At 48.6% G+C, this 23847-nt stretch overlaps 1 protein-coding gene and 2 long non-coding RNA genes across 3 annotated transcripts in view, besides 13 other annotated features; 1 reads left to right on the forward strand and 2 right to left on the reverse strand.

The window, feature by feature from the left end:
* The window catches only part of NXT1-AS1 (NXT1 antisense RNA 1), a 42012-nt gene extending 26512 nt beyond the window's left edge, over positions 1-15500 (reverse strand). The window contains exon 1 of the long non-coding RNA XR_937384.2: positions 15363-15500. This is a non-coding gene — a long non-coding RNA (NXT1 antisense RNA 1). The remainder of the gene's footprint in view (positions 1-15362) is intronic.
* Positions 4657-4706: a silencer, noted in NCBI's record as "silent region_12723". NCBI's record gives its function as "represses an Ori minimal core promoter by ATAC-STARR-seq in GM12878 lymphoblastoid cells {active_cell/tissue: GM12878}" and the evidence as "EXISTENCE:reporter gene assay evidence [ECO:0000049][PMID:35858748]".
* Positions 8670-8890: a silencer, noted in NCBI's record as "fragment chr20:23325274-23325494 (GRCh37/hg19 assembly coordinates)". NCBI's record gives its function as "represses an EF-1alpha promoter that drives an FKBP-Casp9 reporter gene in an ReSE screen in K562 erythroleukemia cells {active_cell/tissue: K562}" and the evidence as "EXISTENCE:reporter gene assay evidence [ECO:0000049][PMID:32094911]".
* Positions 13825-14697: an enhancer, noted in NCBI's record as "H3K27ac hESC enhancer chr20:23330429-23331301 (GRCh37/hg19 assembly coordinates)". NCBI's record gives its function as "activates a minimal SCP1, AML or CMV promoter by ChIP-STARR-seq in naive H9 embryonic stem cells {active_cell/tissue: H9 hESC(naive)}" and the evidence as "EXISTENCE:reporter gene assay evidence [ECO:0000049][PMID:30033119]".
* Positions 13825-15569: a biological region, named in NCBI's record as "H3K27ac hESC enhancers GRCh37_chr20:23330429-23331301 and GRCh37_chr20:23331302-23332173".
* Positions 14116-14245: a silencer, noted in NCBI's record as "silent region_12724". NCBI's record gives its function as "represses an Ori minimal core promoter by ATAC-STARR-seq in GM12878 lymphoblastoid cells {active_cell/tissue: GM12878}" and the evidence as "EXISTENCE:reporter gene assay evidence [ECO:0000049][PMID:35858748]".
* Positions 14406-14545: an enhancer, noted in NCBI's record as "active region_17632". NCBI's record gives its function as "activates an Ori minimal core promoter by ATAC-STARR-seq in GM12878 lymphoblastoid cells {active_cell/tissue: GM12878}" and the evidence as "EXISTENCE:reporter gene assay evidence [ECO:0000049][PMID:35858748]".
* Positions 14465-14759: an enhancer, noted in NCBI's record as "tiled region #5983; HepG2 Activating DNase unmatched - State 1:Tss, and K562 Activating non-DNase unmatched - State 1:Tss". NCBI's record gives its function as "activates a minimal TATA promoter and a strong SV40 promoter by Sharpr-MPRA in HepG2 and K562 cells {active_cell/tissue: HepG2 | K562}" and the evidence as "EXISTENCE:reporter gene assay evidence [ECO:0000049][PMID:27701403]".
* Positions 14698-15569: an enhancer, noted in NCBI's record as "H3K27ac hESC enhancer chr20:23331302-23332173 (GRCh37/hg19 assembly coordinates)". NCBI's record gives its function as "activates a minimal SCP1, AML or CMV promoter by ChIP-STARR-seq in naive H9 embryonic stem cells {active_cell/tissue: H9 hESC(naive)}" and the evidence as "EXISTENCE:reporter gene assay evidence [ECO:0000049][PMID:30033119]".
* On the forward strand, positions 14824-18804 carry NXT1 (nuclear transport factor 2 like export factor 1). Its single transcript, NM_013248.3, has 2 exons — positions 14824-15094; positions 18014-18804. Exon 2 carries the CDS (start codon positions 18075-18077, stop codon positions 18495-18497), a length of 423 nt encoding a protein of 140 aa, NP_037380.1. The 5' UTR covers positions 14824-15094; positions 18014-18074; the 3' UTR covers positions 18498-18804.
* Positions 14866-15135: a silencer, noted in NCBI's record as "silent region_12725". NCBI's record gives its function as "represses an Ori minimal core promoter by ATAC-STARR-seq in GM12878 lymphoblastoid cells {active_cell/tissue: GM12878}" and the evidence as "EXISTENCE:reporter gene assay evidence [ECO:0000049][PMID:35858748]".
* Positions 15626-15675: an enhancer, noted in NCBI's record as "active region_17633". NCBI's record gives its function as "activates an Ori minimal core promoter by ATAC-STARR-seq in GM12878 lymphoblastoid cells {active_cell/tissue: GM12878}" and the evidence as "EXISTENCE:reporter gene assay evidence [ECO:0000049][PMID:35858748]".
* A 1822-nt stretch (positions 18805-20626) lies between the features above and the next one.
* Positions 20627-22160, reverse strand: LINC01431 (long intergenic non-protein coding RNA 1431). The gene is made up of 3 exons (NR_109884.1): positions 21988-22160; positions 21084-21170; positions 20627-21002 (listed from the first exon to the last, which is right to left on the reverse strand). It is a non-coding gene; the product is annotated as a long intergenic non-protein coding RNA 1431 (long non-coding RNA).
* Positions 21586-21675: an enhancer, noted in NCBI's record as "active region_17634". NCBI's record gives its function as "activates an Ori minimal core promoter by ATAC-STARR-seq in GM12878 lymphoblastoid cells {active_cell/tissue: GM12878}" and the evidence as "EXISTENCE:reporter gene assay evidence [ECO:0000049][PMID:35858748]".
* Positions 21866-22255: an enhancer, noted in NCBI's record as "active region_17635". NCBI's record gives its function as "activates an Ori minimal core promoter by ATAC-STARR-seq in GM12878 lymphoblastoid cells {active_cell/tissue: GM12878}" and the evidence as "EXISTENCE:reporter gene assay evidence [ECO:0000049][PMID:35858748]".
* Positions 22306-22495: a silencer, noted in NCBI's record as "silent region_12726". NCBI's record gives its function as "represses an Ori minimal core promoter by ATAC-STARR-seq in GM12878 lymphoblastoid cells {active_cell/tissue: GM12878}" and the evidence as "EXISTENCE:reporter gene assay evidence [ECO:0000049][PMID:35858748]".

The following is a 23847-nucleotide window of genomic DNA, read 5'->3' on the forward strand; positions in this document are numbered from 1 at the left end:
GTTCGAGACCAGCCTGGCCAACATGGTGAAACCCCGTCTCTACTAAAAATACAAAAATTACCTGGGCATGGTGGCAGGCGCCTGTACTCCCAGCTACTCAGGAGGCTGAGGCAGGAGAATCACTTGAACCCGGGAGGTGGAGGTTGCAGTGAGCCGAGATCATGCCACTGCACTCCAGCCTGGGCGACAAGAAAAAGACTCTGTCATAAATAAACAAATATATAAATAAATTAATAAAATAAAATAAAATAAAATAAAACTGAGTTGGGCCAATGTGCAGCTTGAGGCAGTATTTCTCTGAGCCCTTTGTTCTCTAAGGATAAATCTTCCGAAGAGCGGCCCTCACATGGGTGGTCCAGATGAGGCAGAAGAATAGGGTCTGGAGGCAGGGAACCTAAGGCCATTTCAAGCTGACTTCCTAGTACTAAATTCAAAGTAAAGCCCTAACTTTCCACACCTTAGTAACAAAAAGATCAGAAATCACTCCCTTTGCAAACCCTCACCTTTTCTGTGCAGCAGATGCGAAACTGAAAATACCTCTGATTGGTTGCTTTGTGCAACCAATCAGATGTTGCATAGGAGCGTAACTTTGTAACTTCACTTCAGCCTCTGATTGGTTGCAGAAAGCAGGCCGCCACTTCATTTACACCGGGTGAACACCAAGTGGCCAATGGGAAACCTCTAAGGGGCATTTGGACTCTGTAGATTCTATATCCTGGACCTTGAGCTGCTGCTCCACCCATTCCCACACTGTGGAGTGTACTTTCATTTTCAATAAATATCTGTTTTTGCTCTTTCATTGCTTCATTCTTTCCTTGCTTTGCTGTGCATTTTATCTAATTCTTTGTTCAAAACACCAAGAACCTGGACAACTTGCAGTCAAGACCAAGACCGTCTACTGATAACACAGGTCAGATACTTCACAGCCTGCTACTGAGGGATGCTGTGGAGCTTCCAGGGCCCAGGATCCTTGTTGGATCCACAACTTTCCAAGTGGCCCTCAGCACTCTGTGACCCCCACGTGGCAGCCTCCTCCCAGGAGAGACTTCTAGCCTGTATTAGCTTCATGCCAGCCTCCCTGTGTGGCTGTTCATACAATATGATGGCTGTGTTCCTTACCCAAAGCCTCTGTTCCCCATGGGCAGGAATGCCCTTGGAAGAGGAGCACCAGCGGGGGACAGGCCAGACACAGGGCAGCAACCTCATTAAATCTCATCCTTAGGGTCTTTGCTTTCTCTCATTTGGCACTTCTACCCAAATCTAGTCCCACTGCTAGATCCTGAGAAGACACCCATTTTTACATGCCACAGAGCACTTTCCAGCACATTATTCTTCCTCTGAGCCCCCTGGGGTAGCTTGGGTTTGGCATGCTGACCCAGCACCCCATCCTTTATCTGGGATCTGAGTTGTCTCCACTAGTCACAGAGGTAGTTGCAAGAATGGGCCTCACCAATTAAATTACTTCATGCACTGTCACAGCTTAGTGCTTGCTGCCAACTCTGGCTGCATAATAAATATGCATTTGAAAAGGGCACAGCAGAGCCTGCTGAAGGCTCATCCATTGCACATCTGACAACTGATGTTTGCTGTCACTGGGGCCTCACTCAGCTCCTCCCCAAATAGGCCTGTCCATGTCCTCTTTCCAGCTGGCCTAGTCCAGGTTTCCTCACAGCATGGTAGCTGCATTCAAGGGTGAGCAGAGAGAGACAGAGGTATGGGGAGTTGGAGGGAGAGAGAGAGAGAGAGGAAAAAAAAGAAGAGGGAGTGAGCACAGGTGAGCTGAGTGGAACCTGCATCACCTTCTATGACCTAGCCTGGGAACTCCTCTCTTCCCAGATTAAACGGGAGGAACATAGACGCCACCTCTCAGTGAGAGCAATGTCAGTCATGTTGTTAGAGCAGGAGGTCTGGGACATCTTTAATTGTTCAGACGCCTTTGGGCAATGCAATCTGCCACCAGTGACATGCACTCAGTACCTACCTGAAGTCAGGTACCATGTGTGCATCAGGTCATAGCAACCCTTTGATCTTGCCAAAGCCTTGAGGCAGATTAACTTGCCCAAGATCATGCAGCTGGTAAGTGGCAGAGCCAGCATTTGAACTGAGGATTCTCAGCTCCAGAGGTTTCTATGGACTTGAGTTTGTTCTCATAAATTTTGAGAGGTAATTGCATTCCTTATATATAAAAAGGAACAAGGCAAAAAGTACAATAGAAGAACAGAATACTAGAAAAAAGGACCAGTCAGGAACATGAGATCATGAAAGTAAGCTTAGAAAATAAAGATATAATTGGCCAGATAAGGCAAATAATAAGTCAATAGAAAGGATACACAATAAAGTTATTTGTTTGTTTTTAATTCCCAGGGCACAGGCAAAAAAAAAAAAAAAAAAAAAAAAAGAAAGCAAGCAAGCAAGAGAGAGGCCAAAATTGCAAAAACAAGAGAAAGAGGAGAGAAAGTAAATGGGGGAAAGCCATAAAAAAAATAGAATAACTTTTCCAGAGGATGAAGGAAACCCATACAGACTGGAAAGGTCCAAGGATCATTAGGGAGTGACTCCAGGGGTAAAGGGCTTTTCAAGCAATGAGGGGTGCTCTGGAAAGGCTGGCCCATGAGATGAAGGGATTAAGGCACATTATTTTGTCAACAGCAAAAGCAACAAAGACAAAAACAATTAGGAATTCCAAGAAAAACAAGATCCTGTTCCATAAAGATATAGCCGAATAGAAAGTAAACTAAAATAAGCATGGTGTAAGGAGGGTTGGAAAAGAGAAGGCTGTACACTGGACTTTGAATCTGGGAAAGTCACCCTTTAGGGGGTACAGACATCGTGGGAGAGAACAGAGCAAGTCCTACATGTGTGTGTTTCTATAGTAATCAACAGTTAGGCCTAATAGTGAAAATGCTTCTTATTTCTTTTCAATGCTTAGACTCAATCTAGACAAAGAATAAACCTAATCATCGCTGTAGAACAGAAGGTAAATGTAGTCATCCTTGATGCTGTAAATGTGAAGACAGTTTTTACCATATTATCTAGAATTAGTTTTGATGGCATCTAACTGATGAGCTCAAAATGATGTAAACAAAATAGACTTGTAGTTCTCACTTGCCTAAAAGAGAACTTATCATAGCTCTATGAAATAAAGGGAGCCAAGTCCTTCCACCCTCCTCTCTACCATCCCTAGGATCTGGCCCACATCTGCATGGTCCAAAATAGCAGCCAAAGTGCCAGCCATCACATCTGCATTTCAAGCAGTTGAATGAAGACATGGGAGATGGCCTAGCCTCCCTAGTTTTAGGAAGTCCCACACAACACTTCAAACTACATCTCATCAACCAGATGAGGTATATGCCACAGCTAGTGGGAGAGAAAGTAGGAAGCATGGTCTTCAGGCTGAGTGGCCACACGCAAGTCAGGGTTCTATTTCCACAGGTGGAGGAGAGCATGGAGGTGACAGCAGCTCAAGGGTTAGTCACAGAGATGGGACTTAGGAAGAGATGGTTGAGAGAACTGTTATCCCCGTCCGAGAGGGCAGAGAGTTAGACAACAGTCTCTATCATTGATGGAATAAGAAGCAGAGAGGAATTACATATTTAAAGCTATAAAGGTCATCACTAGAACTAAATCTAATGAAATTAGCTAAGAGACTATTTTGTAAGATTCCATTGTAATAGTCATTGAAGATTGTCCAAAATTGATAAGTCAAGCAATTGAATTACAAGCTCATTATTTAGAATTACAGAGGTAACTGCCAAAAGAACAAAAACATAGGAACAGTTGCAAGTGTTTACCCCACGAGCCTGAATGCGAGGGAAAGCAAGGGGCAGGACAAGAGGTACCTGCTCTCCTTACAAACCTTCTATGCTCTTGGATCTCTGTACCACGAGTTGGAACTTTGGCTTAAATTTTTAAATTAAATTAATGCAGCCTCTGCTTCCACTCGAGGCTGGGGACAGAAGAGAGAACCACTTGGCCTGTTGCTGACAGCTGCCATCCCCCATCCCCATGAAGACAGGGCCCTCAAGGAATGCAGAGGGCAAGGCTGGGGAGGCTTGGGGCATGGCCAGCTCTCCTGTCAGGGTGCCCCTTTCCAACTCAGCAGGGATGAGAATCCTCATCACCCGGAGTGCCCTCCAGGGGCCCACAGCTGGGAGCAGGAAGGGATACTGGGAATATTCCACCTGGGATGACACTCTGATGTCACGGGAGAAGGGGTAGGGTCGTGGGGAGGGGCAGGATCTTCTCGATGCCCCCACCCCTCGCTGGTCATAGGCACTGGCTGGCAAGAACGGGCTGCCTGGGGCCTTGCGCCGGCACCCTGAGCTGATCCCCCACATGCCATCGCGGTCATCCCATTGTACACTGTGCATTCATCGCCTCGGAACCATCCCGGGACAAAGTGCCAAAGTCAGCCATTAGACCAAAATGCTCACCAGGAAGCATTTTTGAGACAGTACCTCAGAATTTGAAATAGAACCACACTAAAAGCTGTGCTGCTTTGGAGAGGCAGAGACCTCTGCTTTCCCAAACCGTTTCTAAAATATCCTAGAGAAAAACAAAAAAGCCTCTCTGAGCAGCCACCTGTCAAGACAAAGGAGATTATCTTGGACTTTTTAAATGCCCTATGTTTGATATAGGGAAGGAACACTTTGGTTTCTTGATCAGAAAAGGTGTCACTCAGATCCTGTCTACAACGCAAGCAGAGCGGCTCTTGTCAAAGGCTAGACCACCCTCGTGTGGCTGCTTCTGTGAATGGCAATTCAGATTTGAAGAGCAAGACAGATCAGACAGCTTCAAAAGCGGGAAAACTGGCTGGGCGCAGTGGCTCATGCCTGTAATCCCAACATTTTGGGAGGCCGAAGCGGGCAGATCACCTGAGGTCAGGAGTTTGAGATCAGCCTGGCCAACACGGCGAAACCCCATCTCCACTAAAAATAGAAAAATTAGCTGGGCAAGGTGGCACATGCCTGTAGTCTCAGCTACTCGGGAGGCTCAGGCACAAGAATTGCTTGAACCCAGGAGGTGGAGGTTGCAGTGAGCTGAGATCACGCCACTGCACTGCAACCTGGCAACAGAGCGAGACTCCGTCTCAAAAAAAAAAAAAAAAAAAGGAAAACTAAGCTCAACAGTCAAGGCTGAACTAATTGCAGAAGAGTGTAAAATAATAATTTACTTCATTAAAAAAGCTGCAGAGCACTTTTCAACCCAGGCTACTTTTATTCTCTAGTCAAGAGCAGTTGTTTTCAAAGTGTGGTCCCGGCTTTCCAGTATGACTAGAAATTGGTTAGAAATGCAAATTCTGGCCTCCCTTGGCCCTGCTATGTCTGAAACTTTGAAGCTAAGGCTCTGGCACCCTAGTGTTAGCAAGGATTCTGACGCTCCCTCACTTTGAGAACTGTAGTTTGCATTAGATTTGTTACTGTCTGGCACCAAAAGAGAGCTGTTAGCCAAGGCATTGACCCTTCAAGGGACCAGGAAAACCCATCTAGACATTCTTCAGGTGTTTCAACAGTGAGAGAAAGTCCTTTCTTTGCTCCCTAGCTTAGACAGAGTCCCCAGCAGCAGCCCCTGAGACAACAATTGCACTGCAAGCCACTTATTTGAGAGGTGATCCCAGGGGCACCTGTTGGGGTATGGGGATGTGAGGTAGGGCAGGGGGAAGCCAGTACAGGGGCAGCACTGCAGGTGCCTGGCTCAGTCCCTGGGGAGCTCCGGGATGATGCGGGGTGTGCCTCAGAGATGTCCTGCCTGAGGGACTGGAAGGGTTGGAACCCTCCAATTCCCATCTGTCCTTACTGAAGGATGCTCTTGGGTGTTAACTCTGGGCATTCCTGCCCTGCCATGAGTAAGGTCCAAGACTGTGGCCAGAAAACCCTGGTCTGGAAAGGAGTGAAGAGGGTATCTCACTGTCTGCTCCACTCAGCTTTCCCAGGCTGCAGGGGGAGACAAAAAGTGCTTGCCGCTCACTTCTGAGCTCTCAAGACTCTTTGATTCCTTATTCAAAGCCCACTCATCAATCAAGGCCTCTCTCAAGTCCCATCTTTGCCAAGCACCTCAGCATCTCCCACTTGGGAGCAGCCTCTCTCCGCACACAGACCAGCCCTCAGATCCATGCATCACTAAAACGTCTCTGCTGATGCTGGGCAAACCAGGGCCTCGCCCTGGGCCCACACGGCCTGGCCGAACACTGGGGAGAGAGCGAGAAATGAATGCCACAAAAGGGGCACAGGAATGTTCAGAGGGGGGAACACCACAGACCTTTCCACAAAGTGGGATGGCTGTAAAGAGAAGGTGGCATCTGAGCCAGTCCCTGAAGGATAGCGGAAATGTGTGCAGAAATGGGGGCAAGGTACACAAGGCAGAGAGGGCAGCCTAAGGACTGCGGCAAGCAGCATGGATTCCGCGTGGCCGAAACATGGCACGGGGGAGAATGGTGGGAACCCAGCTCATGTCTTATTATGGAGGGCCTCGGGTCTGGGACCCTAGTCTAGGATATGGGGAGCTCACAAGTAGGGATACTGCAGAGTGAGAGTTGTGCCCCAGGCAAGTCCCTTTGAGGAGCATGTGTGTTTCAGGACCAGAAAAGTCAGTGACCCGTTAAGAGAGGAAGAGAAGATGGGAGTGGAGTTGGGGTAATTGTGCCACAAGAGCTGCACCCACTACTCAGGCATTCTTCAGGTATCCACATGCCAACATCAGGGAGCAGGTACCCTGATTTTACAGGCTCAGAGGGTTAGATCATTCACAGGAGGTCACGCAGGTCTATCTGACTCCAAGTTCGCATGCTCTTTCTGCTCTATCCACCAGGATTGTTCAAATGGCCCCAGAGAAAGACAGCTGAGCCCAAACTCCAGACCCACAGTAGGAGCTGCAGGGGCATAAGCGACTCAGCAAGGCTGAAGTAAGTGTGAGCCTCAGAGCATGAGAGGAATGGCTGGCCCCAGCCCCCAGTCCTGAATCAGGAGGAAGGGACACAGACACTGGCCCCAGCCCTCAGCTCTCAGAGTCAGGAGGAAGGGACATATGGCAGCTAGGAGACAAAGCATCTAGAAGCAGAGGAACCCAGTGGCCATGAGGTCACGAAAGTCACCTCCAGTCACTTGGACCAGAAGACATGCCTTTGGGCAGCTGGCATGTCAACTGAGCCTCGAGGAAAGAGAATTTTTTTTTTCTGTTTAATAATTTCTTGAGGTGAAGTTTATATAAAATGGGCTATTTTAATGCAAACAATTCAACGGCTTTTAGCAGTTTCACAATATCGTCCAACCTCTATCAGTTCCAGAACATTTTCATGACTCAAAAGCCTGGTACCCATGAAGCTGCTTCTCCCCGTTCCTCCCTGCCCACAGCCCCTGGCAAACATCATTCGGCATTCTCTCTGCAGATTCACCTATTCTGGATATTCCACAGAAATGGAATCCTACAACAGGTGACTTCTGTGTATGGCTTCTTTCACCATGTTTTCAAGGTTCATCTACATTGCAGCATGTATCAGTACTTCATTTATTTTTATTTATTTTAGAAATGGGGTTTCTGTTGTCCAGGCTGCAGTGCAGTGGCATAATCATCGCTCACTGCAGCCTTGAACTCCTGAGCTCTAGAGATCCTCCTACATTATCTTCCCAAATAGCTAGTACTACAGGTGTGACCCACCACAGCTAGCAAGTTTTTTTTATTTTTTGTAGAGGCTAGGTCTCATGATGTTGCCCAGGCTGGTGTGGAACTCCTGGCCCCAAGCAATCCTCCTGCGTCAGCCTCTCAAAGCACTGGGACTACAGGCATAAGCCACCACACCTGGCCAGTACTTTATTTTTCATGGCTGAATAATATTCCATTGTATGGGTATACCACATTTTGTTTATTCATTCATCCATTGGACATTTGGATTGTTTTTAATTTTTGGCTATTATGAACAATCATGAACAAATACTCACTTGAGTACCTATTTTCAATTCTTTTGGGTATTTACCTAGAAGTAGAATTGCTAGGTCATATGGCAGTTCTATGCTGAATTTTTTTTGGACTCATCGTACAGTTTTTTACAGTAACTGAACCATTTTACATTCCCACCAGCGATGCACAAGGGTTCCAATTTCCCCACATTCTCACCAACATTTGTTATTTTCTATTTTTTGATTCTAGGCATCCTAAGATTGCAGAATGGCACCTCATTGGGGTTTTGATTTGCATGTCCAGAGAAGGGCATTCCTGGTAAACAAAGCAGCACAGGCCATTTTACAAGGCCATCATTCCCTAAGAGCCTAGTGTTTATAAGTGTCATGCCCTCAGCTCGAAGCTCAGCTCGAGAGCAGGGATCATACATCTTACCTTTCCTTTGTGTCATCAGCTTTGAGCACCCATGGCTTAATGAGGTTCACAGCCCCTTTCCACTCAGATCTACAGTTGGCCTACATGGTTGGGTCAATAGGAATAGCCACCTCCGAGGCTATGCCCAAGGTCACCACGGGGTTGCTTGTGAAGTACACTGAATGTGCTGGGTCCTCCAGAAGCTGCTTGTGGAGCCACTTAAAATGCCTGCTATGATTGACACCTTCAGTGCCTGTCTGAGGCCTGGTACTTCCCTTTTCAGGGGGCTCTAGCTGATTTCCAAATGCCTAAGGGCTTTTTTTCCAGGCCAGTGGAAGAAAAGCTTCTCTGTCCCTCTTGCCAGACAAGAAAACGACACCTCCCCGGCAGCCCTCACTCTCAGGAGTTGTGTGTAAATTCCACAGTTCCCACACGCTCCTGGCCCTCCAGGGGGAATAATTCTGAAGCATATGTTCTATGCTGTTCTATGAGGAGCTGCACAGCGTGATGAGGATCCAGTCACCCACAGTGGTAGCAGCCTGGGTAATCTACTCCTCACCCATCCCAATTCCCTACACCCCTTTGCCTAGCAAACCAATGACTTGCACCAAAATACTTGCTTCGGATCAGCTTCTCGGGGAATCCAAACTAAGACATGTACCATGTGCTAAGCACTTCCTACACAGTAATTTATAAAACTGGCTTAGAAGCAGAGAAATAACAGTGTCCCTGAGAGTTAAAAGTCAATAAGACTTGGAACATACCTATGCAATGTCACCTTTAAGAGAAAAGAGATTCCCAGCCCATGAGGTGAACAAATTAAAATATCCACCACCAGAATGTGGAAACGCCCAAAAAAAGGGGTAGGGTAATTCACAGGGGCAAATGTGGGCAGGGCTGGTGAGAAGGGAATGTGGTCACCAGACTCACTGTGGGGTATCTGGTCTCCCTGGTGACCATGTTCCTTCCTGAGAACATAGATCCTTCAGGCCCTGTCAACTTGTGCCCTTGGCCACTGGGATCATGCCATCTACTGTGTTTCCTTGTTCTGACCCATGCTCTTATAGCCACCTGCACCTGCTCACATAGAGAGCACATGAACACATGCTGCTTAGTCCCTGGGAAGTTGGTTCTGGCTGTAGATGAACCAACCAACACCTGCTCTGGAGTGCAGCCTTGTGAGCTTCCTCCTGTGACTGGTCCTAGCCAATGGACCCATTTTCAGAAATCAGGACAAAGCCAGCCTCAGGACTGTGGTGAGTTCGTTGAGGTGGCGTCACTACGTAAGGCCTTGAGGGGCCTTCTTTTCTTTTCTTTTTTTGAGATGGAGTCTCGTCACCCAGGCTGGAGTGCAATGGCATGGTCTCAGCTCACTGCAACCTCCGCCTCCCGGGTTCAAGCAATTCTCCTGCCTCAGCCTCCTGAGCAAGCTGGGATTACAGGTACCTGCCACCACTCACGGCTAATTTTTGTATGTTTAGTAGAGACAAGGTTTCACCATGTTGGCCAGGCTGGTCTCAAACTCCTGACCTCATGATGTGCCCACCTCGGCCTCCCAAAGTGCTGGGATTACAGGCATGAGCCATCGCACCCAGCCAAGGGGCCCTATTTTCAAGGTTCCATTAGCAGCAAGTGGCAAACCCAGGTCAGACATAAATTAAAAAGGAGTTATTGCCAGCACTAGGCTATTCCCTGGAACCTTGGGGCAGGACCACAGCAAGGACTTGGAGAAGGAAAGTAATGAGTAAGAACTCTGTCTTGCTGCATAGCAGACCACTACAAAACTTAGTGGGTTAGCATGACAACAATCATTTATTTTGCCCACAAATCTGCAGTTTGGGTGGGGCAAGGCAGGGTAGGCTCATTTCTCTTCAAGCCTTGCCAACCTAGGACCACGGTGGTTCACACAAGCCACACAACTGGCTACTGGGCACGCGTTGCTGTGGGGTGGCTCAGCTGGAGTTGGGCTTTGCTTGCAGCACAGCACTGGGCTCCAGGCACATGTATAGCTAGAGAGCAGCACCGGCTGTATCTCCTTTTACAGGCCAACCTTGGCAGACATGTAACACCATTTAGCCTGAGCTCACACAGTCACAAAGGCCTCCCTGATCAAGGGAAGGACTCAACACCATGTCCTGACAGCGGGTGGCAAGGTAAGGTTCCAGATGAGGACATGGGACCAGAAATTTATTTTGTGTCCATTTTCAGAAAATGTAATCCATCATAGTAAGGAATCAAGGCAACCATTCTCCATAGCTCGTGTGTACGCATGTGTACATGTAAGTGTGCATGTGTACATGTAAGTGTGCATATGTGAGTGTCCATGTGTGCATGTGTGTGTGCATACATGTCTTGCTCCAGTTCTCTCCTCTGGTCACATGACCTTGACCTCTGCTTCATCCTCTGTCTGTGCTCATGGCCTCAGTTATTCCTGCCTTCTCAGAATCCCCCGCTTCCTTTGGGAACAGCTCCTCCACATTACTTCTTTTGAGAAACTTCCTCCCCAGGTGTTTTTGGCAGGACTGTCCCTCAAGCCACCCATCCCTCCTGGGCAGCAGAGGGGTGGCACATGACTGAAGTTGGGCCAATCCAACTCTCTCCTGAGAATCTGACTTTAGTGGAGAATCCCAGGTTCTAGACACTGGTCACAGCTCTGTCAGTCCAACTCAGCCTCTGAGGCATCCATTGCCCAGTTCTTGTTCCCAGACTAAAAGAGCCACCTTACCAGTGCCTTCTGTAGACTCTGCAAGCATCCTGCAGTCTTCCATTAAATACTGATAAATATGTGTATTTAGTTCCAATTCCACATAGAGGCTTTGCAGCCGTCTGACCTCTCCCACAATTCCAGATGGCTGGTGGCTGAGCTGGGAAGAGGGCTGAGATTCAAACCAGAAATGATCCCTACAACCTTCTCAGACAAACGGCATCATTGCAGGCTGGACAAATGCTCCAGATGGTGCCTCCTTTATACACTGCCATTTAATGTCTACAGTGTCCACACCCCCATTTTACAGAGGCAGTAACTGAAGTACAGAGAAGGCAGAGCTCAGATTTCACAAAACTCTGTCTAACCCCATAGGGTTTGCTCCTTCAGTAAACCTCAGAATCTCCTCAAAAGTCAGGTCCCCAACTGCCCTCCTGGAAAAGCAGCCCCAGCTCACTCTGAACTGGCAGTGGCTCAGATGATCCTGCTAAGGCTGAGAGACGGAAAAGAAAGTGTTTTTGGTGGCAGTACATTAGAGTCACAACTGCTTTGCTGTCACCGTAGATTGACTGGCTCCAAGTCATGCAGCCTCTCATGGCAAACAAATGCTGTTAAGATCCTGCGCCAGAGAACAACATTGACAATGAGGGAAAAGATCAATCCTCTATTTACAGACTTAAAGATCCTTAAATCAAGCCTGTCATCAGAGCTGCCAAGGACTCTGCCTGTGTGACCAGATGTGCCCTTCCTCCCTGGACGGACTCCACGCTGCACATGGGACCACTGGGCTCATCTTCAGAAGGGCCCATGCAATTTGGTGACAAATCCCACCAATTTGTCAATACACTTCTTCCAAGTTTAAAAGCCAGTCATTGGAGGGATTGTTGGCAAATAAGGAAGTTGCTATAGATGCAAAATGTCAAAGCATGATTCTGCTTTCCCAACGCTTTCTGGATGCTACTTCATGCTCGGCCCCATATGAAGCACTTAGCATGCATTGTTTCGTTCGCTCTTCACGTCAGCCCGAGGAGATGGATATGACCATTGCCCCTATTCTACAGAGGAGGCAGCTGAGCCTCAAAGAGGCTAACTCACTTGCCACAGCCACCCTGCTAATGCTTAAGCCACACTAGTCAGGTTGCAAATAACTTTATGCTTATGCCCAATTTTAAATAGTACAAAAGATAAAAGGATTTCCTGGCTCTTGAAACTGAAAAGTCCAAACTTGAGGGATGATTTGACTCCCAACATAGTCATCAAGAGCCTGATTTCTTCCCAGCTTTCCTGTCTGCCTCATCAAGGGTCTACCACTCAGGGCAGCAAGATGGCTGCAACAGTGCTATCCACACACTGTGAGTCCAGAAGGGAAGGGAGAAAAATCTCCTTCCCCAGAATCCTTCAGCAAACACCTCCAGGCTCAGTGGCCCTAATTGGGCCTCCGACCACCCTCAGCTGTGCTCAACGCATACAGTGCCAGTCGTGTGTCCTTTGGAACCAGGGATGTCTCTGACCTCCCCAAACTCCAGGATCATAGTAAGGGAGGAGACCACCCCTCATATTGTCTTATGCCCAATTTCTGCCTCCAAAGAAAAAAGTAGTAAAAACTAAAAGGCAGAAATGAAATCCACAAGCAGACAGCCCAGCGCCACACCCTGGGCCTGGTAAAGATTGACTCCTGACCTAATTGGTTGTTTGCATAAAAAAGGCACTGTGAAGATCCCTGTCCTGTCCTGTTCCGTTCTAATTACCTGTGCATGCAGCCCCAGTCACATACCCACTGCTTGCTCAATTGATCATGACCCTCTCACGTGGACCCCCTTAGAGTTGTGAGCCCTTAAAAGGGACAGGAATTGCTCACTTGGGGAGTTCGGTTGTTGGAGACGTGAGTCTTGCTGAAGTTCCCTGGCCGAATAAAGCCCTTCCTTCTTTAACTTGGTTTCTGAGGGGTTTTGTCTGCGGCTTGTCCTGCTACAAATAGGGGGAATAAAAGCCAGGGTTGCTTCCAAAGAGAGCAGGGAGTGAGTGTTGAGGACAGATCATCACAACTGTGCAGTTGAGGAGCATGATTTGAACCCAGGTTTGTCTGTTCATTCAAACAGTATTTATTGAGCCCTTGCTTTGGGTCAGGCACAATTTTATATGCTGGAGACACAAACCTAAAAGGACCCTAACCTAAAAGGCAGACCCCACAAACCTAAAAGGCAGAACAGCTGCCTTTCAAAGCTAAAGTCTCGCATTTTTAAAAGGCCTTGGAGCTGCATTAATGTTCTTCTAATTTTTCTAGGTATGAATCTTCATACTTTTCTAGGTATGAATCGACCCTGTGACACCAGGATGGTTCTTTGTCAGCCTCCTTGTCTATAAAATCAGAAATAATGGTACCTCCCCCAATAAGTTATGTGAAACAAATTAAAGGGGCTTATTATACAGGAAACAAAAGCAGCACAGCATCCAAACTACTGAGCGTGCAGTAAATCAACGCATTCCCACTTCCATTCCATCCACGCTGATTTAGATCAATCCAAGTATCACTGCCTTGGGGTTCAAAAGGCCATGTTAGTTCACAAAGCCCCGAAAATGCTCTTTCACACTCTCTGCTCAGCCTCCAACGTGTCTTTTTAATAATCCAAACTTTCCACCTACTTAACTGAAGTGTGTGGGGGGAGAGGGTGCGGGGGGGAAGGGGTGGCCTATACTAAATAGCCCAACTGTTTTCCACTTGTCCTGAAATCTGAGACCAAGATTCTCTTAGGAATGCAAGCAAAGGGAGCCGACGGGACGCCAAGAAAGCACAGGTTAAACTACCTCACTTCATCTAGCCCCATTTCTCTCCTGGCTTTTCAATTAATTATTCAGCCTCAGACCAGCAGATGGAGCTGAAAATGTTGTCTAAAGAAATGAGGTTTTTCTTTTAATTTACAAGCTATAGTTTCTCATGCCTCCACACTGAATGGTTACATCCTGTTGAGCCTGTTCGTAAAGTTCAGTAAAAATCCAGTTCTCATTCCAGAACAGCTGAATCGTAGCTATGAACGCGGAAGAACAGAGTCCCAACCCCAGCCGGGCCCGGGTTTCCCGGGGCCCCTCAAGCCTCAGGGCAGTGGAGAGCCGCCGTCACGCCCCCGCCTCCCCCACGTCCCACCCTCGCCCCAGTCTCCTCCCACTTTTAGCTACTTTTCCCATCTGACTAAAACTGGCTTCCTCCGTGTCCACCAAGATGTCGCCTCTAAGTGGCCTAACTCCTAAAGAGCGCGATCGGCTCAAGCACTCCGCCACGCGGTTTCCACGGGGCGCGGCCGGCGTTGCCCTCGCCGTGGCCTCAAGCATTGCGGCGCCCCACATGTTGCCAGACGGAAGGCCTCGGCGGGGTCAGGCAGCTGCTGCTGGCCGTGACTACATCACTGGTGACGTTTCACGAGACTTTTAACTGAAATCACTCCAATACAGGCGCATGCGGGACGAGGGGAAAGCATCTCACCCGACCCCACACACCTTCCCCTCCCTCTCCAGCCTAGCGGCCTCCGCTCAGCGGAAAAAAAAGCAGACGCTACTCCCCGCTCTAGGTGCGGGACCTAAGAGGTTTGGCCCAATCAGGCATCCCACCTAACCAGACGGGCCGGAGTCTGTGGCCCGGTTGGACCAACGAAAACTCTAGGGCGGATTTGCCGGGATTTCTGGGAAAGTGACACTCCCGGAAGCTACCGCCTCTTATAAGCCACACATGGGCGGAGTTAGCCTTCCGGCCCGCAGTCCCACTGGCTGACTTCGCTGCCCGTCACGGGAATGCGGGAGAGGGCGGCGCCGGGGCGCTCGCGTCTGCGTGGAGACCGGCTGGCCGCGCGCGGGAAGCCGCGGAACTGCGCCGGAAAGTCCCCCGGCTCTGGGGCCCCGGTGACCCAGAGTAAGCCTCCAAGAAGGAGGAGGAGGAGAGAAAGGCGGCTCTTCCCGTGCCCCTACCAGAGGCTTCGGTGGGCCCACCTTGTGACCTCCGCGGCCGGCCCCTCAGTGGAACTGCGTCCCACGCGGGGGGCGTCCCGACCGTGGGGGCCGCGGCCCGCGCTGACCCTGGACGTCGCCGCGCAGGTACGTTGCCGTCCCCCGGCGGTCTGACCCCCGAGACAGCCCCTAGTGCATACCCCACGCCCTCCTCCATTGTCGAGAATGAGACACGGCTGTGCCTTTGTCCACGTGGTAGAGTTGCCGCCGCGGTGAGGCTCTCGCCTGTGCAAAAAGCGTGGCAGCGAATTCTCATCAACGAGGGGAGGCGCGTCCCCTCACAGCGCAGCTCTCGGGTCTGAGGAGGGCCGGGCAGGGCGTGCGTCTGTCTAGGTTTGAATTAAAGGCGACTCACAGGAAATAAGGCCATGCCACTGTGGTAGCTTTTCCCGTCCATCTCCGGACACTCGACGGTGTGGGTCGTGCGAGGAGGCGGCAGTCTTCACAGCCTCTTACTCTAGTCCTCACGGTCAGGTTCTTTTTCTGATTTGACACAGACAGCGGGACTGACGACCTCATAGGTAGCTGAAAACCGTAAGTGGAGATGGTCCTTCTATGGTGTGTGGGGGCGTGGCCAGTTGTTAGATTGTGTTTGGAAAGACAGCCAGGGGCGGAGAAGAGGGGCATTTCTGAGATGATGGGGGGACTGGTGCCATGGAGGGAGGAGGAGTGAGGTGGAGATCGGGAATTCCAGCCAAAGAGAAATGGGGTCCCTGGGAGAAAATTCCCACTCTAGCAGTCCTGGAGTTGTGCTCATGGAGACTTGCTTACGCGAGTACAAGGACAGCGTTGTATTGACAAAATTTCAGCCCTCAGTCTAGTCTTGTAAACGATAGATCAGGAGTGTACTTAACCGTCGTTACTTTGATCCAGCCCTAGGTTTCCCTTTTCTCATTTGTAAAATTGTTATAGTAATACCTTTTTCATCCATTTGTGGTAACATTTAAATGAGGTAATTTGTGTGAAGCCCTTAGCAAACACAGCGCTTCTTAGTCGTGGGTTCCGCGTGGGGTGGATTCAACCAACCTCAAATCAAAAATATTCTTCAGAAAAAGAAAAATGCGTTTGTACTGAACATGTAGAGGCTTTTTTTTTCTTGTCATTATTTCCTAAACTATACAGTATAACAACTATTTACATCCCATCTACATTGTATTAGGTATTATAAGTTACCTACAGATGATGAAGGTATATAGGAGGATGCTGCGCATAGGTTATATCAAACAGTACACCATTTTATCAGGGACTTGAGCATCTGCAGGTGTTGGTATCCTCGGGGGTCCTGAATCCAGTTCCTCACAGATACCGAGGGACCACTGTACTCAGTCCAGAGTACAGTTGAGGCTTAACTATGAGGTCTGTGGAGGGCGTGGAAAGACCCACGTCTGAAATTGGCTCTTAACTGCTCATTTTTAGGACAGCTTCCCTCCCAGCCAGCCCTTTACCAGAGGCAATGCACCATCTTTGCAGCCGTTATAAGTACCTGGCTCTTTCCAGCCCTATGTGGAATGTTTTATTTATTTCATAAGCTAATCATTATAAAAAAAAAAGTCTTTTTTTTGAAATGAAAAAAAACTGTTCACTAAGTTTGTAAGTATAAACTATTTTAGTAATGTCCTCTATTTTAGTAATGTCCTCTTTTTTTTAAGTGAAATATTTTAATTATGGAGAAAAGAACATAACAGTTGTACCTGTACCCTGAAAAAAGTAAATGTCAATTTTTTAAATGCTTTTGGACTTTTTTATTTGGGGGACAATGTGACATTTCAGCTATAGTTCATATTCTGTGTCCACACACCCAAGAGCTTTGAAATCTAACATGCCTTTCTGTGGAGGCACTGTGACTCCACAGGACTTATCTGGTGGATGTTAGTACCTGTGTAAGCTGGGTGTCCTCCCTTCTAATCCCCACTCACCCAAGAGGTTTGCTGCTTCTAGCTTATCATGGGGATTATGGCTGCCATTTTGATTCTGTCCTCATGTCATTTGTGTTTCTACCCTCTTAAGAAACCTGCCTTCTCTGCCTTCCCAGTTCCTCCTGAGTGAGCTCATGATAGACTTTCCTAGACTCAGCAGCTGACGAGCATTTCATTGGTTTGGTTGGCCTTTATTGGGCCAGTGACCACTCTTCCCTTCAACATGGTCCACTGTCTTTACCAAGGGGCTGTCATGTCTGTTGCAAGCATTCAGGAAAGAGTGGCCTTCCATACTCAAATGTACTCTATTTTATAAAATGTGATTTTAAAAATTCGTGGTCCAATCAGGCCTCCTTATCCTCTGGGAATTGATTCCAGCAGCCCCCCTAGCCCCACAACAGACCAAATCTGCTGATGCTCCAAGTCCTTGATATAAAATGGCGTTAAGGCCGGGCATGGTGGCTCATGCCTGTAATCCCAGCACTTTGGGGGGCCGAGGCAGGCAGATCACCTGAGGTCAGGAGTTTGAGACCAGACTGGCCAACATGGCGAAACCCTGTCTCTATTAAAAATACAAAAGTTAGCCAGGCGTGGTGGCGGGCATCTGTATTCCCAGCTACTTGGGAGGCTGAGGCAAGAAAATCGCTTGAAGCTGGGAGGCAGGTGTTGCAGTGAGCCGAGGTCGCGCCACTGCACTCCAGCCTGGGTGATAAAGTGAGACTGTCACAAAAACAAAATGGCATAGCACAGTCAGCCCAACGTATTTGCAGGTTTCGCCCTGAGGTTGGCTGAATCTGTGGATGCAAAACCCTCAGATATGGAGTGCTGACTATAACTAAATGTTTTTAAACTAAACACTTAAGGTATACTATCTCAGTTTGCCACAGTGGTAATCCCATCTTAACAGTGAGCAAACTGAGTCTTAGTAAAATTAGGCATTTTTAGGCATTGGGTACTATTTGAGCCTACAGTCATTGTTCTGCAGTCTGTAACTATTTTGCCAGTAGTAGAAAAGGAGGAATGTTCCATTGTCAGGGCAGAATGAACTTTGGCATTCACGTGGCTTCTCTTCAACCTTACTTCCCTGCAGCCCCTGGTTCCCCAAGGCAGAGGAAATACCCTGGTGGAGCCCTCCTTCCATAGAACCAGAGATGGCATCTGTGGATTTCAAGACCTATGTGGATCAGGCCTGCAGAGCTGCTGAGGAGTTTGTCAATGTCTACTACACCACCATGGATAAGCGGCGGCGTTTGCTGTCCCGCCTGTACATGGGCACAGCCACCCTGGTCTGGAATGGCAATGCTGTTTCAGGACAAGAATCCTTGAGTGAGTTTTTTGAAATGTTGCCTTCCAGCGAGTTCCAAATCAGCGTGGTAGACTGCCAGCCTGTTCATGATGAAGCCACACCAAGCCAGACCACGGTCCTTGTTGTCATCTGTGGATCAGTGAAGTTTGAGGGGAACAAACAACGGGACTTCAACCAGAACTTCATCCTGACCGCCCAGGCCTCACCCAGCAACACAGTGTGGAAGATCGCAAGTGACTGCTTCCGCTTCCAGGACTGGGCCAGCTAGTGGGGGTGGCAGAGGTCTCTTTGCTTCATTCAGCCCTAGCTCTGTAGAGAAATGCAAACCTCGACTCTCAAGGATGTGAGGAACACAAGTTCATTTCTGTTGTTGCGGAGACACTGCAGACTCCACTGTGCCGAGGTTGAACTCTTTTTTGTTGCTCAAGTTCTAGGAGTCCCTTTCCTGAATATATACTTGTTTGTCATAGTTTCCTTTTCAAAGTAGTAAACTTTTCTATTTTTCTACTTGCCCAGTAGAGACTCTGATTCTGGAAATTCTGACAAATAATTTAATAATACACATGTTGCTTCTTTCCCTGTCTGATGTGTTTGACCAGGTTGTGAGGGAGGAGGAGGGCTAAAGGCAGAAAGCATAATAGGAAGCACCCGCACAGGGGTGAGGATCAGGGCTTAGTACCTACCCCAGGCACCAGTGTGCACATAGTTGGCCCACCTGGAGCTGTGATTCACAGCCCCATGCACACTAGAATCCCTTGGGACACTGAAAATTACCTATGCCAAGGCCATACTCCAGACCCAACCATGCTTGAGTGTGTGTGTGTGTGTGTGTGTGTGTGTGTGTGTGTGTGTGTGTGTGTGGTGGTGGGTAGGGGGGTTGGTTTTGTTCCAGGCTGGAGTGCAGTGGCATAATCTTGGCTCACTGCAACCTCCATCTCCCGGGTTCTAACAATTCTCGTGCCTAAGCCTCCTGAGTAGCTGGGATTGCAGGCACATGCCACCACACCCGGCTAATTGTTTGCCTGAATCTTTGAGGATACGGCTGGGCATGGGCAGTTTCTAAAAGCACCCTAGGTGTCTTTTAGGATACATCACCTTAGGATATAGCAGAATCACCTAACAGATGGCTGGGCCCTACCTTAGCACCTTAGCTGAGAATTAAATGATGAGAACAGATGAAATACTAGAGTTAGCTAATTGCTTATAAATGAAGCCACTATATTAAACTCATTGATAAAGAGAAAGTGAATCAGCACTGATTCTGAGAGGAAGAAGCACTGAAACTAGGATGGAGGACATCAGAACCAGAAGCTGCTGTTACTGATCCTAAAGGCCAAACCCAATTGCATTTCTTCAATGTAAAGAATAGAAAACCCTATAGAAGTTGGACCAATAGATGATGTGCCTGCCATGCTGCAGCTTCCCCAGTTAAGTTGTCTTTGGTAAAAGTGTGCTAGGTTTGGGATAGGGTAGTCAAGATACTGCAATGGGAAATTTTGAGAAGGGTAAGAATCCTGATAAGCACAGTGACACAGGTAGCCGTTTCCTCTTGACACCCCTTCCCTTCTCTATTATCTGAAGCCCAGTGTTTTGAGAGATAAGGGACCCACCTTAAATACTTGACTTTCTCATTCAATTTGTAGCTAGGTCTGACATGTGATTAAGTTCTGGCCAATGAAGTAGGACTGAACTTGGGGGAATTTTCCTTCAACAGACCCTTCTTTCTTTCCCACTCTATCCTGCTGCCTGGAAAGGTTATGCTGACCTGACCACGGGCTCTGGCTCAGTCTTGGCCAAGAGAACAGCTCAGCCATACCCTAGACGTAGGATAGTGCTGAGCTAAAAGGAGCCTAGGTCCCATGTGGAAACACCAAAATAGCCCCAGCTCACTCAACCAAAGACTTCTTTTTAAATGAGAAATCCCATCTTAAGCCATTATCAATTTGGGGTGTGTGACACTGACACACAGCAGTAATCCTAAGTGAGGAAAAGGATTTGAATGGGGCAGACTGTATTCACTACAGGGCCCAGAAGACGCGGGGACGGCCCCAACTACTGCCCTTCAGGTCCGGGCCAGACCCGCAATGGGCAGGATGGGTAGGGTACAGGGCGTGCGTCCCCACCTACACTAGCCTGGTTGCAGGCGGCCTCCAAGGGCACAGCGGGAAGCTCCGCCCTTGCCATGCCCCCGCCACCGGGGAAGGCAAGACAAATGTGCGTGGCACCCTCCTCCTTCGGTTCTGGGACACATCTCCACCAAGCGGCCGTTCGGCAGGTAGGGCCAGATGGTCCCGGCTCGTCCCTGCGGGTGGGGTTTCCCACCGGCGGAAAGCGCAAGCCCCTCCCGTTCTGTCCAGCGCGCTGCCCGCTGCCTTAATTATAAGGCAGATGAAGGTGAAAAGTTTACTGGTTTTTATTTTTGCAACTTTTTGTAAATTTTAAATTATTCTAAAAAGTTTAAGAAATGAATTGTGCTGAGGAGTATAATCAGCACGCAGTGCGAGTTCTTATAGTGGCCACGTCCACAAACCCTGTGTTGTGGAAGAACAGAAGGCGTTCTGCTTTCTGTGTTTCACCGTCTCTCCCTCGCTTTAACTTCCAGGTCCCGGAGTAGTGGTGACAGCAAGGTCTGTTGGTTTCTTTGGTTTAGGTTTGATGAAAGGCCACTCCAGTGGGGTAGGAGGTGGGCAGGGAGAACAGGGGCTAGGGTGGGAGGGGCAGGAGTTGGGTCCTGGGGGTGGAGGAGATGACGGGGAGAGTGGCTTGGAGAAATCTGCAAGAAGAGACATTGGAAGGCCGGGGGAGGTGAAATGGACACTGGGTGAAGCTGAGGAGTCCTAGTGAACCATGTTACCTCTGATCCAGATATTCCCAGAACAACAAGAAATCAAGCTTCTGAATGTGGTCTGTTGCAAGCTTGGAAGGTGCACACCTGTTGCTGCTAATTTGGACAATTTGGGGGAAGAGCAGAGATTTAGATGTTGCTTTGGTCGACCTTAAACACCAGCCCTGTCTCCCCTACCACTTTGCCAAATTAGGGCCCCGTCTCTCTAAAGAGCAAACAGAAAACTGCAGAAAGTTGCTTTGTCCTGTAGACAAGAGGCTGGGACTAGGTAAGAGGAGGGAGCCAGGATGCAAAACTTAAGACCAGCCTGGCCAACAAGGCGAAACCCCGTTTCTACTAAAAATAGAAAAATTAGCTGGGCGTGGTGGCAGGCGCCTGTAATCCCAGCTACTCAGGAAGCTGAGGCAGGACAATCGCTTGAACCCAGGAGGCGGAGGTTGTAGTCAGCCAAGATCGCGCCACTGCATTCCAGTCTGGGCGACAGAGCGAGACTCCGTAACAAAAAACAAACAAACAAACAAAAAATCTTAAACATCACCAACGAGCCTTGTGAGAAATGGTTTAACGTTGTGATACCTTGCCCAATTTTAAGGCAGGTAAAGGTGTGTGTTAAAACTCAACTCTTGAACTGAACCCCAGCTGCCCTTTAGGGCATGCTTAATTTGATGTGGACTGTAACCTCTTTTGCAGCATTGTAGAGATTTGGAATCTGCACATTAGGAAGAGACCCCACGAGGCGGTGGCGTTCTTTCTCGTTCGGAGCTCACACCCCTCCTGGGGAGCCCTCTCCCAACCCGGGCTCCCGGTAAGCGCGGTCGCCGCTCCTCTGAGGGCTGCTCTTCCCTCGCTTCTGAGCCGAGGCCCCCGCGACACGAACGCCACGCCCGAAGCGCTCTTGCCAGGACGTACTGACCGAGGGTAGGCTGCCCAGCCGGGTGGTAACGTTGAGGAAAGGACAGCAGCTTCGCAAAGGAGCTGGGTAAAACCACGCCCAGACCCCGCTGGCCACCAGCCCGAGACCAAGACGCAGGCGGTGGCGCCGGTTTCTCACTCAACCGCAGGTTCCAGCATCCCCGATACGGCCGACGTCATTACCCTGCGACCGCTCAGGACACTTCTGAGGACTCTTTTGACAGCTAGTAATCGCGCGGTGGCGCGACCACGTGACTCCGGCGCCCTAGCCCCGCCCTCCGTCTCCAAGGAGCCCTGGAAGGAGCTATACCAGCGGCTCCAGAAGGCGGGGAGAGGCGGGGCCGGACTCCGGGACAGCCAATGGGCGAGGAGTGCCGCCCAGCCTGACCCACCGGCCGCTCCCTCACGAGCCTGTGGGCGTGCGCCGGCTGTGCAGGTGAGGGGCAGCGAGGGCGCCTAGTGGGCAGGGCGCCGGCGTTGCGCGTGCGTCAGTGTTCTTCCTTGTGCAGTTTAGAATTTGATACATTTCTTTCCAGTCTATTTCTATAGATTTGTTTTCAAATCACATCAGACCCTATGTAAAATAGTGTACCGTCTTTACTCATTATAACATGGTGAGCATTTCCCCAAGCTATTACACATATTTTTAAACATTGTTTTAATGACCGGCATAATAATCCAGTGCTTGGATATATCAAATTCTTCGGCCATCTCCTTATAGGTGAGATTGTTTCCAAAGTTTCACTAATGTAAGTGCACTGCAGTGAACGCCCTTACGTAACAATTGTTCACTCCCGTGTACTTTTCTCGTGCAGAGTTCTACAGCATGAAACACTATATTTAACTTTGTCAGGTTGATGTTTATCAGTGGTTTATTATTGTTTTTATAGTATTCCATTGTCAGTGAAGTATGCCATTCACACTGTCAAGTGAATTGTCTATTTGTATTATTTAAAAAAAAGATCACAAACATAGAAAGGAGAGCTTTATTTCTTTAAACGGTGATAACCTGCAAGGTGGCCCTTCTGACAGGCTGGGAAGCATAGCTTCTGGCAGAAGCTCAAAAGGCAGGCAGCTGGAGGGAAGGGGGCCTAAGACAGGAATTTAAGCTGAAGGACTTAGCCAAGTACACATATGAACAGGCCACAGGAAGAGCTATGAATATTCATGAAACGGGTCCTGACCCATGCTTACTGGACAAACGTGCATGTTACAGGTGACCTATGTTTACTTTGGGGTGGACTCTTAGCATTTACAGGTATTCATGTATTACATTTAGACCCTATAAGTTGAAAGATCTTTTCAGGACACCGATGCACTTGTGTGCAGCCTCTGTAAACCGCCAGAATCAGCCCCTGTTCGGTTGTTTCCCATCAGGAAAAAGTTACTGCAGTCAGTCTCTGGTCCAATCAAAGCAGTAATTATTTGTGGAAGTGGTGGGGCTGGGGCAGGGGGCGTGTCAGTCAGCATGTGGAGGTGGATGAAAAGCACATTGTTTGAATATTGCTTATCTAGAGGCCAGTGCTTGTTTGGCTGCCAGAGAATAAAAACCTTGTGGCAGTTAAGGCATAGTTTCTTCTTGAAGTGTAGAGGTGCATGACAACCCTTGCCAGGCATGGCCCTTCATTCTTTATCATTTAGTATTGCCACAAAGAGTCTGTGAGTCTTATGACCTCTATTTTTAAAGCTATTAAGACACTCAACTAAAGCAATCCTTTCAGTATTGAATGGATAAGCTAGCATTATGTTATGCTAGCTAACATAATCGGAGACGGAGTCTCATTCTATTGCCCAGGCTGGAGTGCAATGGCATGATCGAAGCTCACTGCAACCTCCATCTCCTGGGTTCAAGTGATTCTCC

The sequence above is a fragment of the Homo sapiens genome, chromosome 20 (assembly GCF_000001405.40).
Source record: "Homo sapiens chromosome 20, GRCh38.p14 Primary Assembly".
NCBI classification, from domain to species: domain Eukaryota; kingdom Metazoa; phylum Chordata; class Mammalia; order Primates; family Hominidae; genus Homo; species Homo sapiens.

What these genes read in the sequence shown, in the direction of transcription:
- NXT1 (NM_013248.3), top strand. Translation starts at nt 18,075, where the DNA reads ATGGCATCTGTGGATTTCAAGACCTATGTGGATCAGGCCTGCAGAGCT.